The sequence below is a fragment of the Homo sapiens genome, chromosome 9 (genome assembly GCF_000001405.40).
Source record: "Homo sapiens chromosome 9, GRCh38.p14 Primary Assembly".
NCBI lineage: Eukaryota > Metazoa > Chordata > Mammalia > Primates > Hominidae > Homo > Homo sapiens.
In genome coordinates, this window is record NC_000009.12 from 87,028,830 (window position 1) to 87,047,812 (window position 18,983).

General features: G+C 39.6%; 1 long non-coding RNA gene across 1 annotated transcript in view, besides 1 other annotated feature; it reads right to left on the reverse strand.

The window, feature by feature from the left end:
- The window catches only part of LINC02893 (long intergenic non-protein coding RNA 2893), a 33,676-nt gene extending 20,379 nt beyond the window's left edge, over positions 1 to 13,297 (reverse strand). Inside the window, exon 1 of the long non-coding RNA NR_027471.1 lies at positions 13,042 to 13,297. This is a non-coding gene — a long non-coding RNA (long intergenic non-protein coding RNA 2893). The remainder of the gene's footprint in view (positions 1 to 13,041) is intronic.
- Positions 4,606 to 7,854: an enhancer, noted in NCBI's record as "VISTA enhancer hs1463". NCBI's record gives its function as "enhancer in: limb[6/7]" and the evidence as "EXISTENCE:transgenic organism evidence [ECO:0001131][PMID:17130149]".
- Positions 13,298 to 18,983: the final 5,686 nt, after the last annotated feature.

The following is an 18,983-nucleotide window of genomic DNA, read 5'->3' on the forward strand; positions in this document are numbered from 1 at the left end:
TATTGACCCTAGGATTACTCTTGTCTCCCTACTGCTTGGTATTTGTGTTCTATGTCTGCTGATTTCTGGCTGATAAGCATGAGTCTTTGTGGAACTCAAACAAATTTACAAGATAAAAACAAACAACCCCATCAACAAGTGGGTGAAGGATATGAACAGACACTTCTCAAAAGAAGACATTTACACAGCCAACAGACACATGAAAAAATGCTCATCATCACTGGCCATCAGAGAAACGCAAATCAAAACCACAATAAGATACCATCTCACACCAGTTAGAATGGCGATCATTAAAAAGTCAGGAAACAACAGGTGCTGGAGAGGATGTGGAGAAATAGGAACACTTTTACACTGTTGGTGGGACTGTAAACTGGTTCAACCATTGTGGAAGACGGTGTGGCGATTCCTCAGGGATCTAGAACTAGAAATACCATTTGACCCAGCCATCCCAATACTGGGCTTATACCCAAAGGATTATAAATCATGCTGCTATAAAGACACATGCACACATATGTTTATTGCAGCACTATTCACGATAGCAAAGACCGACCTGGAACCAACCCAAATGTCCAACAATGATAGACTGGATTAAGAAAATGTGGCACATATACACCACGGAATACTATGCAGCCATAAAAATGATGAGTTCACGTCCTTTGTAGGGACATGGATGAAGCTGGAAACCATCATTCTCAGCAAACTATGGCAAGCACAAAAAACCAAACACCACATGCTCTCACTCATAGGTGGGAATTGAACAATGAGAACACATGGACACAGGAAGGGGGACATCACACACTGGGGCCTGTTGTGGGGTGGGTGGAGGGGGGAGGGATACCATTAGGAGATATACCTAATGTAAATGACGAGTTAATGGGTGCAGCACACCAACATGGCACATGTATACATATGTAACAAACCTGCACAATGTGCACATGTACCCTAGAACTTGAAGTATAATAATAATAATAATAATAATAAAAAGAATGAGTCTTTGTGATAAAACAAAGCAGAATACAACACAGTTTTACTACTCAGAAGCTGTCTGCACGTGCTTTTCTATTTTTCTGAATCTCATTTCTCTGAACAGTCTGCTTATGTCTAATTCTATCATGTTCTCTGTGCTTGCCTCTCCTTTGTTCTCTTTCCTTCTTTAAGAGCCAACTTCCTCTTTCTGCTTCTCCTCCCCCTTTTGTAGTGGACCCATCTGAGGCCTGTGTGTCTGCCTGAGTTCTTTCTACTAGAAACCTGCCTCTTAGTGCTGACTTTAATGCAAGTCAGCAATATAATTCCCTTCCCACCCTGCTATACAGAACCAGAACATTTTACAATACAATGCATCCAGGTTAATTAAAATTAAATCATCATATATAAATGACGACTAAAATAATAAACAGATCTAGTTAGCAACACTGACCTTATTTGATGACTGCCATAAACTCTAATTGAATTAACTTTTTATACTTACCTGGCAGGGGGAGATACCATGATCATAAAGAAACTTGTAGAGTTATACTCTGAGTTCTTTAAAAAGTGGAGCAGCACAATCTAGATGTTAACAGCTCGTTCCAGAGCTACATGGCTTGTTCTGGATGGCAAATGGCCTTGGTTCATCACCACTGAAAGGCAACTTTCTCTGACTAGAAATAGACACTTATTCTAACACTCAGTACAGTTCCTCTAAATATTTACAAGAGAAAAACCATACCCAGTTGAATTTTGCTTCCTATCCCAGAAGGAAGTTTGGGAAATTAAATATAATTAAGCAAACTGATATCTTAGGATGATTATTTGATTCAAGTGAGCTGGGCGAGGCCCTGTGATTGACGGTGTGAAGTGTAATATAGTGAAAAGGAACTGCAATGGGAGTCAGAAAGCCAGGTCTGGAGGAAAAACTGTGTCTCCAGCCAACTGCAATTACCACAGGCCATTCAAACTCATGGATCTGCTCCCTTAAAAATTCCTGCAGCCGGGCGCGGAGGCTCTCGCCTGTAATCCCAGCACTTTGGGAGGCCGAGGTGGGTGGATCACGAGGTCAGGAGATCGAGACCATCCTGGCTAACATGGTGAAAGCCCGTCTCTACTAAAAATACAAAAAATTAGCCGGGCGTGGTGTCGGGCGCCTGTAGTCCCAGCTACTTGGGAGGCTGAGGCAGGAGAATGGCGTGAACCTGGGGGCGGAGCTTGCAGTGAGCTGAGATTGCGCCACTGCACTCCAGCCTGGGCGACAGAGCGAGACTCCGTCTCAAAAAAAAAAAAAAAAAAAAAAAATTCCTGCAAAAGGCAGAGATTATACCTGATAGTTCTACCATCATTTACTTCTGTAATCCATGTATCTGATTCCAGAATCGTGGGTTCAATGCTTTCTCTGTGTCACTATGGTATAGTTGGGAGACAGTACTTCTACTCAGCCTGCCCCTGGGCACTAGGACATGATCAGATGTCAGCCGACTTTTCTATGAGATGATGCTCTATGTGTCTATCTTGATAAGCAGTTATGATGTTTCCAACACAGCAAATAGAAATGTGACCTATGTTTGACCATAATCATAGCTAAATCTCTCTTAGCTAATTAATGTCAATGTTATCTCTTATGCTGTAATTATCAGCATACTGTAATATGTCTAAAAGTTAAATGATTTTGCTTCTCTGGGATGTCTTGTATGGAGGACGGTAGGGAAGCCTAGATGTTGAAGATAGGTGTGATATCCTTGGATTTATTGTGATAGCTCCTCTTACCCTCTGTTTCCCATGATGATTATGAACTTCCCATGATTATGTTTCCCATGATTATGAATTTCCCATGATGATTATGATTATGAAGTTCCAGCCTAGGAACTTCTGCACATTTTAAAGCTCAACTATCTTTTTAAAAATTATGAGGCCAGGCACGGCGGCTCACATTTATAATCCCAGTACTTTGGGAGGCAAAGACAGGTGGATCCCTTTAGCCCAAGAGTTTGAGACCAGCCTAGGCAACATGGTGAAACCCCGTCTCTACAAAAAAAGTACAAAAAATTATCCGGGTGTGGTGGCGGGTGCCTGTAATCCCAGCTACTTGGGAGACTGAAGTGGAAGGATGTCTTCAGCCCAGGAGGTTAAGGCTGCAGTGAACCAAGATGGCATCAGTGCACTCCAGCCTGGGTGACAGAGTGAGACCCTGTCTCAAAAAAGAGAAATGTTTCAGACATGCAAAAGAATATAAAGACTGACATAATGACTACTCTTGTAGTAACCATCACCTTAAGAATGAAACATTACCAATGGAGGTGAGATGCCCATGGCCCCTTCCAGCTGTGTTCCTCTCTTTCTCTGAAGGGCTCATTATCTGGTAGGGCTTTTTTTTTTTTAATTAAATCTTACCTAAAACTCCTTTATGCTGAAGGCATGAAAGCTAAATGTCAGCAAAAATAAGGACAATAAAGATGTTTGAGAGAGAAAAGAATGTTTCATCTGTGATTGTGGATGAGGACCGGCATCTTTAAATACCTGTATCATTTATTTATGGAGGGTCTCACTTAATGATACATCAGAAATATCCTGCAAGGATGGGACACCATGTTTTCAGTCTTTACCCTATTACTAGCTATTCAGATTGTTTCCAGCTCCTTAATAAAGTAAACAATGTTCTAATAATCCTGTGTGTGTGTGGATAGATGGACAGATGGATGGATAGGAAGATGGGTGATAGATAAATATAGATAGATGATAGATAGATAGATAGATAGATAGATAGATAGATAGATAGATCCATCCATCCTAATGTACTGAGGCATTTTATTTCTAATGGAAGGATTCCACCAAAGTATAGGTGCTAGGTCAAACATTGTATGTATTTTTAATTTTAATAGAGATTGCCATAGTTTTCCATAAGCTATTAATTTGAAATTGAAGTTTTCAACATCTGAAGCATGATTATGGAATCTTTGAGTTTCTTGAAACATTTTGAAAACCACTGGACCTAGGATTTTTAGCTATTTTGTTTACCATGTCTGCCTATGTGGCCTTTGAGAAATGTGAAACTCTGTAAAATACCTTGATTATCCTATGATACAAAATAGAGAAAGAAAAATACCGGCTGGATGCTAGAAAATGGAGCTGAGGCCTGACTTCATGTCTTCCTAGACTAAGTTTCTGGTTAGAAAAATGGAAATAGGTCCCAATCGGGGAGGAAATAGAGCATTTATTTGATGCTGCCTTTCAGTACAAGCATTAAAATATGCCAAGTAATGGATGAAAGCCCTTTCTGATTATTTAATGAAGACATGGAATTCTGTGGAGTTCTGCTTCTTATGTGAATAAGAGACCCTCTAGCAATGCAATATTTCAGCTTCCATTTGTGCAAAATTAGATGAAACAAATTACTTTAAAAATAAACAACAACAAAAACCCAAGCTCAGAATCATGCATTCTTCTCAAAAGTAACTTCCTAAAATCAGTGTGAACAAGACTAAATGAAATGAAATAATTGTGAAATAAAGTCTAGAATGTATTCTTTGTGGAAAATTAATTCTAGCTCATAGGAAAGACTCAGTCTTAGTTAACAAATTTGGACAAAATCAGAATGTGCAGCAATTTATATCTGCTGCTCTGGATGTTTGGGTCCCCTTTGAACTCTGGCCTTAAATATTCTGATGGATTTTCTTCATAAGCCCTTAAATTCTCATGGGGTAGACTAATGGCCTTTTCAACAGGCACATGAATTTCCCCTTTTGCAGTCACCACATATGTAGGCAGTACATCTCTAGCAAATCTCCAGACCATCCCAGAGAAAGTAAATCCAGAAAAGAAGAAGGGAAGAGGGGGTGGGGAGGGCAAGAATTGTCCCCTGAGTAAACCTGCAATGCTCAATAGTTAGACTGAATGATGTGGTGGCATTGGAGGCAAAAAAAAAAAAAAAAAGAAAAGAAAAAAACACCTCTAACTTGAACTGCTAAGGTTTTTTAAAGGAAAGAAAAAGAGAGAAGGAAGGAAGGAAGAGAAAGAAAGAAAGGAAGGAAGGAAAGAAAGAAAAGAAAAGAAAGAAAGAAAGAAAGAAAGAAAGAAAGAAAGAAAGAAAGAAAGAAAAAGAAAAAAGAAAGAAAAGAAAGAAAGAAAGAAAGAAAGAAAGAAAGAAAGAAAGAAAGAAAGAAGGAAAGAAAGAAAGAAAGAAAAAAATAATCATGCAAGCAGGCAAACAAACAAAACAAGGTAAAGGGAAATGTTAGGATGCTTTCAATCAAGCCCTTTTAGATCAATTAACACCGTTGTTTATTTAATCTCCAAATTCCATCACATGTGGCAGGCAGGAGTGCTGTTCTTCTTTTCAACTGAAACAATGCAAAACATAGTCTGGATTCAAGGAAATCTTGCCAAAATCCCTGGCAATGTATCACTTTTTTAAGCCCTGTTTTGCTTTTGTGCTCATGGTAACGTTTGCAGCTGTCGAGTGTGGCTTCAGGCTGTCTGACTCCCTTGAGAGAATTTATGTGTTTTTCTACTTCCTTTCCTTATTAGGAGGCAGGAATCTGCGACACCTATTAGAACAAGTATGCATAAAGGGTAATGACCATGAGATTTATTAGTGGTCTGTTCTTCTTCAAATGAGCTCTCAGCCCCTGTTCCGCAAGGGCCATGCCCAGGTTTGAACTGGCCTCTGCTTTCTCGGCAGCAGGTGGGCAGAGTGGCTTTAGTCAAGGGGACGAGGAAAGATGTCGGCCTCTGGGAAAAGCTGGTTCTTTCTTCCACACCAAGGCACGGAAAAGAACCTGGAGTGTCAAGGTTTGGATTTAATGAATATGAAGTATTAGCTGACAAAGGTGAATGGGATCGAAATAGAAACATGAGCTAGATTTTCATAATAGCTCTGTGGCAGGAAAAAGGCTCCCAGAACCCTTTTGTTTTGTTCTTTTTAAAATGGTAGCGTGTGGGGGTAATTTTGTTCCTAGAGGTCTGAGATAGGGGAATGAGCCTTTCCTAGGAAAGCATGGGAATTCTTCTTTCCTCTGTTTCCAAGGAGTAAAAAGGTCGCCATTTGGGGAAAGGGATGACTTTGAGAAGCTAAAAGTGTGCTCATCTGCAGCGGACCCCTCACAAAAACGTTCAAACAAGGAGTCAGGAAAGAAGCTGCAGGTTTTAATAAAATCCACATATCAGCCCGAAAACACTGGGCCAACTACATCTCTGCCCAGCCTCCTGCTAATGTTTGGAGTCCAGACGGAAAGTTCAGGAGAACAAAATGCTTGGGGCCAAATTCATTTTCTGTGAAAATCACCAGTATGTTCAAGAAAACGTAATCCATATGTTTTTGATTCATTCGTCAAAACGTTTCAGTGAGCCACTGGGTGTCCACAAAGCTTGTCAGGTCATTCTTCTTCAAGGCAGAAAACCGTGTTTGGCCATAGAAGGTGGATTCTAACCCCAGAAAGGGCAGGTTCAAATTGAAACTCACTCTCAAGGTGTGAGTGGGCTCTACCTTGAAAAAATCTAATAGGCTCTACTGAGAAATACCAGGAAGAAGAATGAATACATTTTCCTCATGCAGTTTTTAGGCTGGAGATAGTAACTGGGGGAAGGCAAGGGGTCAATGTTCTTTTGAGCTTTTAAGCATGATCAATATTGTGAGATGAAGAAAATTATCTCGGTTACTCTTAGTCTGTTGAGAAAGTTAAAACTTCATAATCAGTTTTGTTTTGTTTTTTCTCATGAACTCTCAAAGATTCTTCTCCCCCCAGCATCTATGATCCCCTACCGGGTAGAGTCATTTTTACATCCCCCTAGTACAGTATCTGACACGTTCTAGTAGGCACCCAATGAATGCTGACCAGAACTGAAACAACAAATATATTTTTTCCTGTACTGATCAATACATAAAGGTTTGCTTCCACCTTGGGTGCAGTTATATCCAATAGCTTGTAGTATTAAAGTCAGAGAATAGGCACTCTGTGTTAAGAAAGTAAAAATGATACATAGACCTAATGGTGCAGATAAGTTGACAGGAAGATAAAGCTAAAAGGTTGGAAAACACATTAATTAGTTCCCCTCCTCTATCTGGGGTCCTCTGGCTTTTTCCATTTGGAGCATGCACTGGAATAAAGAAGGAAGGAACCTACTTCAGGCTTTGTCCAGAGTCATAGCAGAAGGAGAACATTTCATTACGGTGCTTCATGCAACTCACCCAGGTCCCCCGACACATTCACCCTGAACTGCATAAATCTCTCAGTAAGCAGCAAATGAGACCCACGTTTAGATTTCTGACTAAACTTCTGGCTTCTTTTCACATTTTGCGCAGTCATTTCAAGTGAGCTAGCCAAAGCTGCTAATTAAAGAGAGAATGATTTATTTCATAAGTTTTCTTTTCCCTCAGGAAACATAACTCAACTCCAGGCACAGCTAGTTTACCTCGCCCTAGTCAATAAATTACACCCACCTCATTAATAGTTAATTAGGAAAACTGGAAACCCCTTGACAAAACCTCAAGAAGGAAAGGGTCAGCCAGCTCCAAGCCAGAAATGTACAATGAGCCTGATCCGATGCTCCTTTCGTGCTCACAGGCCCAGGTGCCCAGTCCTGAGTGGGAGCCTTGGTTTCTCCCCACATGTTTAGGAAGCTCATTCTGCCCTGCGCTGCCCTCCTACAGTGAACCTTACATGCATGTCATCTTTGTGAGGTAGGGGACAAAAACCCTGTCTTTAACCTTCTTTTATAACTGTTAAGAATTTTTTTTTTAACTATGGCAACAAAAATCTAGAGATCAATTTTCCTTCAATGTAGTATATGTTTCTCCAACAATAAACACATCGCTAAGGTTTAACTTTCAGGAATAAGATACTTTTTTTTCTTTTCATAAAAAAGATCGCAAAGCTCATATACTGCTGACTCAGTCTTTCCATATATAAATATTAACTGGAGGAGAGCCAGACCATGCCAGCTCCCCTAGTTCTCTATATATGGCCAATCAGTGCATTGGTGCAATGCAAGAGGCAGATTTATGTACAATGAGAAATAGAAAACTAAGGTCCACTTATAGTGCCTTGGCATTTCTAAGTATTTCACCAACATGCCACCTAACAGTTATATAAATTTGACTGATATTTCTTAAACTTTAATGTACACACATATGTCTTGAAGGTCTTGTTCAAAAGCAGATTCTGATAGGTCTGACATGGGACCAAAGAATCTATATTTCAAACAGGCTTCCAGATGACACCAATGCTGCCAGTCCTTGGACCACACTGAGTAGCAAGGAACTGGGAAACATCATCCACCTTCCCAAGTTGGCTGGTGGGTCTGAGTACTCGTGTGAACAGGTATAAAAACCAGGTCTCAGTATGCATTATGATTCTCCTCCTATACAAATCATTTTCTAGAACAGGGTTTGGCAAACATTTTCTCTAAAGTGTCAGTTAGTAATTATTTTAGGCTGTGCAGGCCATTCAGTCACTGTTGCAACTATTCAACTCTGCCATTGTAGTGCAAAAGTGACCTTTGAAAATATGTAAATAAATGGGTATGGCTGTGGTTCCAATAAAACTTTATTTATTTCTGAAAGTAAGCAACGGACCAGATTTGACCCATGGGCCTTAGTTTGCCAGCTCCTGTTCTAGAACAATGGTTTCCAAAAGGTTGTGTACTCAGAGCAGTACCCTCCCATACGTGCATATTTATTTATAAATTCTGTATACATCCTACTGCACTAACACAAAAGTGAAACACAAAAGAGGGAAAATTGACATAGAAAATCATATTTCTTTGTTCATTCAGTTGGAGCATCTTGCTATCCCCTGGGTACGCACACTCACCTTAGTGATAGAATTAGAAACTAGTGATGGAGAGAATTTTGAAATACATTTTTCTTGACAAAAGTGATCACATTTCTAAGAGTAGACCTTGGTGTTTTGATGATTTTTTTGCGTTCCAAGACATAGAACAGCTATAATATGTTAAGAGCTGATAGCAAAGACAAGAAAAACAAGCCTTGAATATAATTGTTTTATGCAATCAATACGGTGACACAGTCACTCTGCACCCTTTGGGGCTTATTTGAGCAGTCCTATGTGCCAGGTGCTAAGCTAGCACTCACAATGTTTTATCTTATTTAATACTCACACAGCCCTCTGAGGTAAGTGATTATTGTTGCTGTTTTATAGCAGAGAGAATGGAGACTCAGTACGTTTCTTATTTAGTTAGTTGGTTAGATGGGGTGTAAACGTCATATCGGCCTATTTAAAAAGCCTTTGTCCTTAATGACTGCTATTTATTGCCTCATCAAATAATAATCATTTTCAAAATTTTACTATTTATTTATTCTGTAATGACATCACACTGATGGAAAAATCCCTCTGGTTATAGTGAATGGGTTTGACATACTTCACCCAAACTGCTTCATCCTACCAAGAAGTTGCCAATGAAGGTAACTAGGCCTCTGTGCTGAGAGAGACTGTCATCTAATTTCAACAATATTGTTGGTTTCTAAGAGATTGCTTACTAGCCATAATGTACTAAGAATTCTCATTCATCTGAATAGTTATGTGCTCAAAACCTTCTTATTACTAAAACTCAGTCAGAGATGACAAGGTGAGCCAACTGCCTAAGACTATTTCTATGTAAGAAGGACCTGATTTGTAAGGCAAATAGCTTTACTTGCTTTGCAAGGTTTTCTACAGATCCAAATCAGCCATAGAGAGCCTATCCATATACCTCATTCAGAAGTGAAAGGTTCAAATACAAACACTGACATTTATGTGACAAGGAAGGCCTTAGAGTTATAAACCATGGTTCCACAGTTTAGGAGAGAAGACTATTAGCACATTTTAAAAACTTTTATTTCAAAATAAATGATGCATCAATGTAAGTGCGTGGCAATTATAACCAGTGCATTGATATTCAGACTGAGGATTCTCTCAATAAAACTTGGCCAGTTAATCATGAACTATAAATCAAGAGTAAGAGAATATGTTCAATGAAGAATATTGGGAATAGGAGTGCAGATAAATCTAAAAACAATGAGACCAGAAAATAGGGTGATGAGATCCATATTTTGAATAAAAAATAAGACATATTGTGACAGATATTTCTGCTTTCAAACATTCTTTTTGTCAGGTTGTCCTGGAAAACTTAGGGCAATGATTTCTGTCACTTCAGACATTACTCCTACTTAAACTGTGGTACATTTCACCATTATTGTTTTTTTTTCTCCTGTGCTGTTTTACTTTCCCAATATTTTACCAGTGTCTTTTGGAGTCATTTTCAAAGTAAATAACCAACCTGCCACCCTTCATTTTATTTAATATGCCTTTTAAATACAAAATTCATACTGTATATGGCCTCCTCATTTATATAATTATCCTACCTCAATTATATTGAGATAGGATTTCTTTTTCAAAATATTTTAGTAGAGTTTATGACCTCAAAAATGCTGTCAAAGATATAAAAGCAGGTTATAAGAGCAGGAAATATTCTTATAGAAAACTGTTATATTAAGAACAAGATGCTCTTAATTAGTAAACACATAATAGTAGATGTTTTTGCATTTTTTGCATAAATCAAACATTTAACTACACTACCTTCATAAAATATTTGAGAGTCAAAAAGTAGCCAATTTTCTGATAAGTTGCATGAAAGTAATTACTTAACAGCAATACAGAAACAGTCACCAGCCACGATTAAATGCTATGCCTTGCTTAATAAATGAAAACATAAGTACATACATAGAGACAAAACTTCTACCCTTAAGATCATTATACTACATGACAATTTTGGTACAAAATTCAGGCTTTTTTTTGTTTTATACTTTTGTTTTCAATGAAATTGTCAGTATTCTTTTGGCCACTTATAAATTCTTTTAATAAGTGAGTGTCTCTAATGTTTATTATTATGATTAAGAAGACAATTACTTCTCTAACTTTAAAAATTTTTTTTATTAATGATCTAACAAAAAAAGATGGATTCAGAAAGAAAACTTCAGTAGAGATCAATGTCTAAATGTCACCTGTGCTATAAGTAGAAAAATACTTTTTGATTGTCCAGCATCCCAAATGTCCTTTTTCTTTTTAGGAGAAATCCCTTATTGTATGTGCTGCTGTGGTAATTCTATGCTCTGTATCTCTGTTTGAATTATCTCAGAAGCAAACTGAGAGACAATAAGTTACTTGCAAGGAGTTTACTTTGAAAATGACTCCAAAAGACACTGGTAAAATGGCAGGAAAGTAAAACAGCAAAGGAGAAAAAAACAACAAATGCTGCATTATCAAGCGAGTCATCACTGTAGGCAACAGGAGCTTAATCCTTATGAGAAACTCTGGGAAACAGCCTATAACACAACTCTCAGGGTTTCCACACCAGAAGGATGAGGAAGCTGGGGAACTTAAACATTAACACTGTGATGGTTAATGTTACATGTCAACTTGACTAGACTATGGTGCCCACATGTTTGGTTAAACACCAGTCTAGATATTGCTGTGCAGGTATATTTTTAGATATGACTAATGTTTAAATCACTAGATTTTGAATACAGCAGATTACCCTCCATAATGTCACTGGGCTTTACCCAGTGAGTTGCTAAGGACTTAAGAGAAATTGACTGCCTGCAGACTGCTTCCAGGCTCAAGCTGAAATGTCAGCTCTATCCTGGATCTCCAGCCTGCCCCACAGATTTCGGATTTGTGAAATCCTGTGAACCAACTTACTAAAATATCTCTTCTCTCTGTCTGTCTCTGTCTTCACATACACACACACACACACACACACACAGCCTTTTGGTTTGGCTTCTCTGGATAGCCCTGACTAATACAAATACCCTTGGTTGAGGGCTCCCTCAGGCTAAGGGGTGCAGGTGCTGACAATAGAAAGTGTGGAGGCTTGCAGTGAAATGAGAGGAGGGAATAGTGGCAGGCCACCAATAGTGGCTGTTATACTTTGCCTACCACTGCTGAAGACCAAAAGGGATGAGCCAAAACAATCAGCGGCTAGGGACAGTGGCTTCCAGGGAGTCAGTGGTGGAGTCTATTTATGCAGGAGTCTTATGTCAATAGCAGTGTCTTGGTCTGACCAGGCCTCTTACAAAGTGATTGGGTCCTTGGACTCCCAGAGCAGCCTCATTCTCACCTATTCCTTAATTTCTATTTGCTAGTTTCCTATCAGTTCTATGAGCTATCAGTTGCCTTCCAATGAATTCCAGTCTTTAAAACTAATGACCAGAAACTATGGTTGTTCATTGCAGTAGGGAACTTTGGTATTTATGCTTTTCTAAAACATTTTGATCATTCATTACTGCTCCTAGCTCATATTTAACGCATTCACTTTCGATTTTTAGAGTCTGAATGTTTTAGCCTAGATTATCTTATTTAGGCATAAATCGTTATGTTTAGTAATTTTTTTGAGATATAGGACAGAAACAGATACTAATGTACATTTTATCAGGAAGTGGCAACACTTTAAACCATGGCAGTAAACATGGCAGTGTGTTCGTTTGTTCACTCAATTACAATTTGTTAAAGCATTACTACAGTAATGAGTATTTGGAATATGACAGCGAATTACACCAAGTCCTTGTCCTTACAAAGTTTAGTTTAGAGTGGAAAAAGATTTAAAAAATGATGAAAACAATAACAACAACAAAAACCACAGCATTCTACCATCAGGGAAGAGAGCATAATTTTAAAGGGTTGAATGAAACATTAATTAAACAAATGAGGTATTTCAGCAGAGATGAATAGCATTTTTTACAGTCTCAATTGAGACACTAGAAATTAAAAAACAAATCAGAGTTTTTTGTAAAAAAAGTTTTTTTCTAGGGCCCATGCACAGACTGTACGTTGCCAAGAGGGCAAACATCAGTAAATTTGAAAATAGTTTGAGAGAAATTATTCAAACTGAAACAAACCCAGGAAAAAAGAACTTTATAAACATGAAAGACGAAGAAACGAAGAGGAAAGGAAGAGGAAAAAGAAAAAGGATACGAAGTGCAAGTATACTTCAGGATCAAACTGCTGAAAATCAAAGATAAAAAGGAAATATTAAAGGTAGCCAGAGAAACGCAACAGGAAGAAAGAAAAGAATTACCATAGAGGGAACGGAGGAGCCAAGATGGCCGAATAAGCTCCGGTCTACAGCTCCCAGCGTGAGCGACGCAGAAGACGGGTGATTTCTGCATTTCCATCTGAGGTACCGGGTTCATCTCACTAGGGAGTGCCAGACAGTGGGCGCAGGTCAGTGGGTGCGCGCACCGTGCGCGAGCTGAAGCAGGGCGAGGCATTGCCTCACTCGGGAAGAGCAAGGGGTCAGGGAGTTCCCTTTCCTAGTCAGAGAAAGGGGTGACAGACAACACCTGGAAAATCAGGCCACTCCCACCCGAATACTGCGCTTTTCCGACTGGCTTAAAAAACGGCGCACCACGAGATTATATCCGGCACCTGGCTCGGAGGGTCCTACAACCACGGAGTCTCGCTGATTGCTAGCACAGCAGTCTGAGATCAAACTGCAAGACAGCAGCGAGGCTGGGGGAGGGGCGCCCGCCATTGCCCAGGCTTGCTTAGGTAAACAAAGCAGCCGGGAAGCTCGAACTGGGTGGAGCCCACCACAGCTCAAGGAGGCCTGCCTGCCTCTGTAGGCTCCACCTCTGGGGGCAGGGCACAGACAAACAAAAAGACAGCAGTAACCTCTGCAGACTTAAATGTCCCTGTCTGACAGCTTTGAAGAGAGCAGTGGTCCTCCCAGCACGCAGCTGGAGATCTGAGAAGGGGCAGACTGCCTCCTCAAGTGGGTGCCTGACCCCTGACCCCCGAGCAGCCTAACTGGGAGGCACCCCCCAACAGGGGCACACTGACACCTCACATGGCAGGGTACTCCCACAGACCCGCAGCTGAGGGTACTGTCTGTTAGAAGGAAAACTAACAAACAGAAAAGACATCCACACCAAAAACCCATCTGTACATCACCATCATCAAAGACCAAAAGTAGATAAAACCACAAAGATGGGGAAAAAACAGAACAGAAAAACTGGAAACTCTAAAAAGCAGAGCACCTCTCCTCCTCCAAAGGAACGCAGTTCCTCACCAGCAATGGAACAAAGCTGGACGGAGAATGACTTTGACGAGCTGAGAGAAGAAGGCTTCAGACGATCAAATTACTCTGAGCTACGGGAGGACATTCAAACCAAAGGCAAAGAAGTTGAAAACTTTGAAAAAAATTTAGAAGAATGTATAACTAGAATAACCAATACAGAGAAGTGCTTAAAGGAGCTGATGGAGCTGAAAACCAAGGCTCGAGAACTACGTGAAGAATGCAGAAGCCTCAGGAGCCGATACGATCAACTGGAAGAAAGGGTATCAGCGATGGGAGATGAAATGAATGAAATGAAGCAAGAAGGGAAGTTTAGAGAAAAAAGAATGAAAAGAAATGAGCAAAGCCTCCAAGAAATATGGGACTATGTGAAAAGACCAAATCTACGTCTGATTGGTGTACCTGAAAGTGATGGGGAGAATGGAACCAAGTTGGAAAACACTCTGCAGGATATTATCCAGGAGAACTTCCCCAATCTAGCAAGGCAGGCCAACGTTCAGATTCAGGAAATACAGAGAACGCCACAAAGATACTCCTCTAGAAGAGCAACTCCAAGACACATAATTGTCAGATTCACCAAAGTTGAAATGAAGGAAAAAATGTTAAGGGCAGCCAGAGAGAAAGGTCGGGTTACCCTCAAAGGGAAGCCCATCAGACTAACAGCGGATCTTTCGCCAGAAACCCTACAAGCCAGAAGAGAGTGGGGGCCGATATTCAACATTCTTAAAGAAAACAATTTTCAACCCAGAATTTCATATCCAGCCAAACTAAGCTTCATAAGAGAAGGAGAAATAAAATACTTTACAGACAAGCAAATGCTGAGAGATTTTGTCACCACCAGGCCTGCCCTAAAAGAGCTCCTGAAGGAAGCGCTAAACATGGAAAGGAACAACCGGTACCAGCTGCTGCAAAATCATGCCAAAATGTAAAGACCATCGAGACTAGGAAGAAACTGCATCAACTAACGAGCAAAATAACCAGCTAACATCATAATGACAGAATCAAATTCACACATAACAATATTAACTTTAAATGTAAATGGACTAAATGCTCCAATTAAAAGACACAGACTGGCAAATTGGATAAAGAGTCAAAACCCATCAGTGTGCTGTATTCAGGAAACCCATCTCACGTGCAGAGACACACATAGGCTCAAAATAAAAGGGTGGAGGAAAATCTACCAAGCAAATGGAAAACAAAAAAAGGCAGGGGTTGCAATCCTAGTCTCTGATAAAACAGACTTTAAACCAACAAAGATCAAAAGAGACAAAGAAGGCCATTACATAATGGTAAAGGGATCAATTCAACAAGAAGAGCTAACTATACTAAATATATATGCACCCAACACAGGAGCACCCAGATTCATAAAGCAAGTCCTGAGTGACCTACAAAGAGACTTAGACTCCCACACATTAATAATGGGAGACTTTAACACCCCACTGTCAACATTAGACAGATCAACGAGACAGAAAGTCAACAAGGATACCCAGGAATTGCACTCAGCCCTGCACCAAGCTGTCCTAATAGACATCTACAGAACTCTCCACCCCAAATCAACAGAATATACATTTTTTTCAGCACCACACCGCACCTATTCCAAAATTGACCACATACTTGGAAGTAAAGCTCTCCTCAGCAAATGTAAAAGAACAGAAATTATAACAAACTATCTCTCAGACCACAGTGCAATCAAACTAGAACTCAGGATTAAGAATCTCACTCAAAACTGCTCAACTACATGGAAACTGAACAACCTGCTCCTGAATGACTACTGGGTACATAACGAAATGAAGGCAGAAATAAATATGTTCTTTGAAACCAATGAGAACAAAGACACAACATACCAGAATCTCTGGGACACATTCAAAGCAGTGTGTAGAGGGAAATTTATAGCACTAAATGCCCACAAGAGAAAGCAGGAAAGATCCAAAATTGACACCCTAACGTCACAATTAAAAGAACTAGAAAAGCAAGAGCAAACACATTCAAAAGCTAGCAGAAGGCAAGAAATAACTAAAATCAGAGCAGAACTGAAGGAAATAGAGATACAAAAAACCCTTCAAAAAATTAATGAATCCAGGAGCTGGTTTTTTGAAAGGATCAACAAAATAGATACACCGCTAGCAAGACTAATAAAGAAAAAAAGAGAGAAGAATCAAATAGACGCAATAAAAAATGATAAAGGGGATATCACCACCGATCCCACAGAAATACAAACTACCATCAGAGAATACTACAAGCACCTCTACGCAAATAAACTAGAAAATCTAGAAGAAATGGATAAATTCCTCGACACATACACTCTCCCAAGACTAAACCAGAAAGAAGTTGAATCTCTGAATAGACCAATAACAGGATCTGAAATTGTGGCAATAATCAATAGCTTACCAACCAAAAAGAGTCCAGGACCAGATGGATTCACAGCTGAATTCTACCAGAAGTACAAGGAGGAACTGGTACCATTCCTTCTGAAACTATTCCAATCAATAGAAAAAGAGGGAATACTCCCTAACTCATTTTATGAGGCCAGCATCATTCTGATACCAAAGCCAGGCAGACACACAACCAAAAAAGAGAATTTTAGACCAATATCCTTGATGAACATTGATGCAAAAATCCTCAGTAAAATACTGGCAAACCGAATCCAGCAGCACATCAAAAAGCTTATCCACCATGATCAAGTGGGCTTCATCCCTGGGATTCAAGGCTGGTTCAATATACACAAATCAATAAATGTAATCCAGCATATAAACAGAGCCAAAGACAAAAATCACATGATTATCTCAATAGATGCAGAAAAGGCCTTTGACAAAATTCAACAACCCTTCATGCTAAAAACTCTCAATAAATTAGGTATTGATGGGACATATTTCAAAATAATAAGAGCTATCTGTGACAAACCCACAGCCAATATCATACTGAATGGGCAAAAACTGGAAGCATTCCCTTTGAAAACTGGCACAAGACAGGGATGCCCTCTCTCACCACTCCTATTCAACATAGTGTTGGAAGTTCTGGCCGGGCAATTAGGCAGGAGAAGGAAATAAAGGGTATTCAATTAGGAAAAGAGGAAGTCAAATTGTCCCTGTTTGCAGGCGACATGATTGTATATCTAGAAAACCCCATTGTCTCAGCCCAAAATCTCCTTAAGCTGATAAGCAACTTCAGCAAAGTCTCAGGATACAAAATCAATGTACAAAAATCACAAGTATTCTTATACACCAATAACAGACAAACAGAGAGCCAAATCATGAGTGAACTCCCATTCACAATTGCTTCAAAGAGAATAAAATACCTAGGAATCCAACTTACAAGGGATGTAAAGGACCTCTTCAAGGAGAACTACAAACCACTGCTCAACAAAATAAAAGAGGATACAAACAAATGGAAGAACATTCCATGCTCATGGGTAGGAAGAATCAATATCGTGAAAATGGCCATACTGCCCAAGGTAATTTACATATTCAATGCCATCCCCATCAAGCTACCAATGACTTTCTTCACACAATTGGAAAAAACTACTTTAAAGTTCATATGGAACCAAAAAAGAGCCCGCATCGCCAAGTCAATCCTAAGCCAAAAGAACAAAGCTGGAGGCATCACACTACCTGACTTCAAACTATACTACAAGGCTACAGTAACCAAAACAGCATGGTACTGGTACCAAAACAGAGATATAGATCAATGGAACAGAACAGAGCCCTCAGAAATAACGCCGCATATCTACAACTATCTGATCTTTCACAAACCTGACAAAAACAAGCAATAGGGAAAGGATGCCCTATTTAATAAATGGTGCTGGGAAAATTGGCTACCCATATGTAGAAAGCTGAAACTGGATCCCTTCCTTACACCTTATATAAAAATCAATTCAAGATGGATTAAAGACTTAAATGTTAGACCTAAAACCATAAAAACCCTAGAAGAAAACCTAGGCATTACCATTCAGGACATAGGCATGGGCAAGGACTTCGTGTCTAAAACACCAAAAGCAATGGCAACAGAAGACAAAATTGACAAATGGGATCTAATTAAACTAAAGAGCTTCTGCACAGCAAAAGAAACTACCATCAGAGTGAACAGGCAACCTACAAAATGGGAGAAAACTTTCACAACCTACTCATCTGACAAAGGGCTAATATCCAGAAACTACAATGAACTCAAACAAATTTACAAGAAAAAAACAAACAACCCCATCAAAGAGTGGGCGAAGGACATGAACAGACACTTCTCAAAAGAAGACATTTATGCAGCCAAAAAACACATGAAAAAATGCTCATCATCACTGGCCATCAGAGAAATGCAAATCAAAACCACAATGAGATACCATCTCACACCAGTTAGAATGGCAATCATTAAAAAGTCAGGAAACAACAGGTGCTGGAGAGGAGGTGGAGAAATAGGAACACTTTTACACTGTTGGTGGGACTGTAAACTAGTTCAACCATTGTGGAAGTCAGTGTGGTGATTCCTCAGGGATCTAGAACTAGAAATACCATTTGACCCAGCCATCCCATTACTGGGTATATACCCAAAGGACTATAAATCATGCTGCTGTAAAGACACATGCACATGTATGTTTATTGCGGCATTATTCACAATAGCAAAGACTTGGAACCAACCCAAATGTCCAACAATGATAGACTGGATTAAGAAAATGTGGCACATATACACCATGGAATACTATGCAGCCATAAAAAATGATGAGTTCATGTCCTTTGTAGGGACATGGATGAAATTGGAAATCATCATTCTCAGTAAACTATCGCAAGAACAAAAAACCAAACACCGCATGTTCTCACTCATAGGTGAGAATTGAACAATGAGATCACATGGACACAGGAAGGGGAACATCACACTCTGGGGACTGTTGTGGGGGAGGGGGGAAGGATAGCATTGGGAGATATACCTAATGCTAGATGACAAGTTAATGGGTGCAGTGC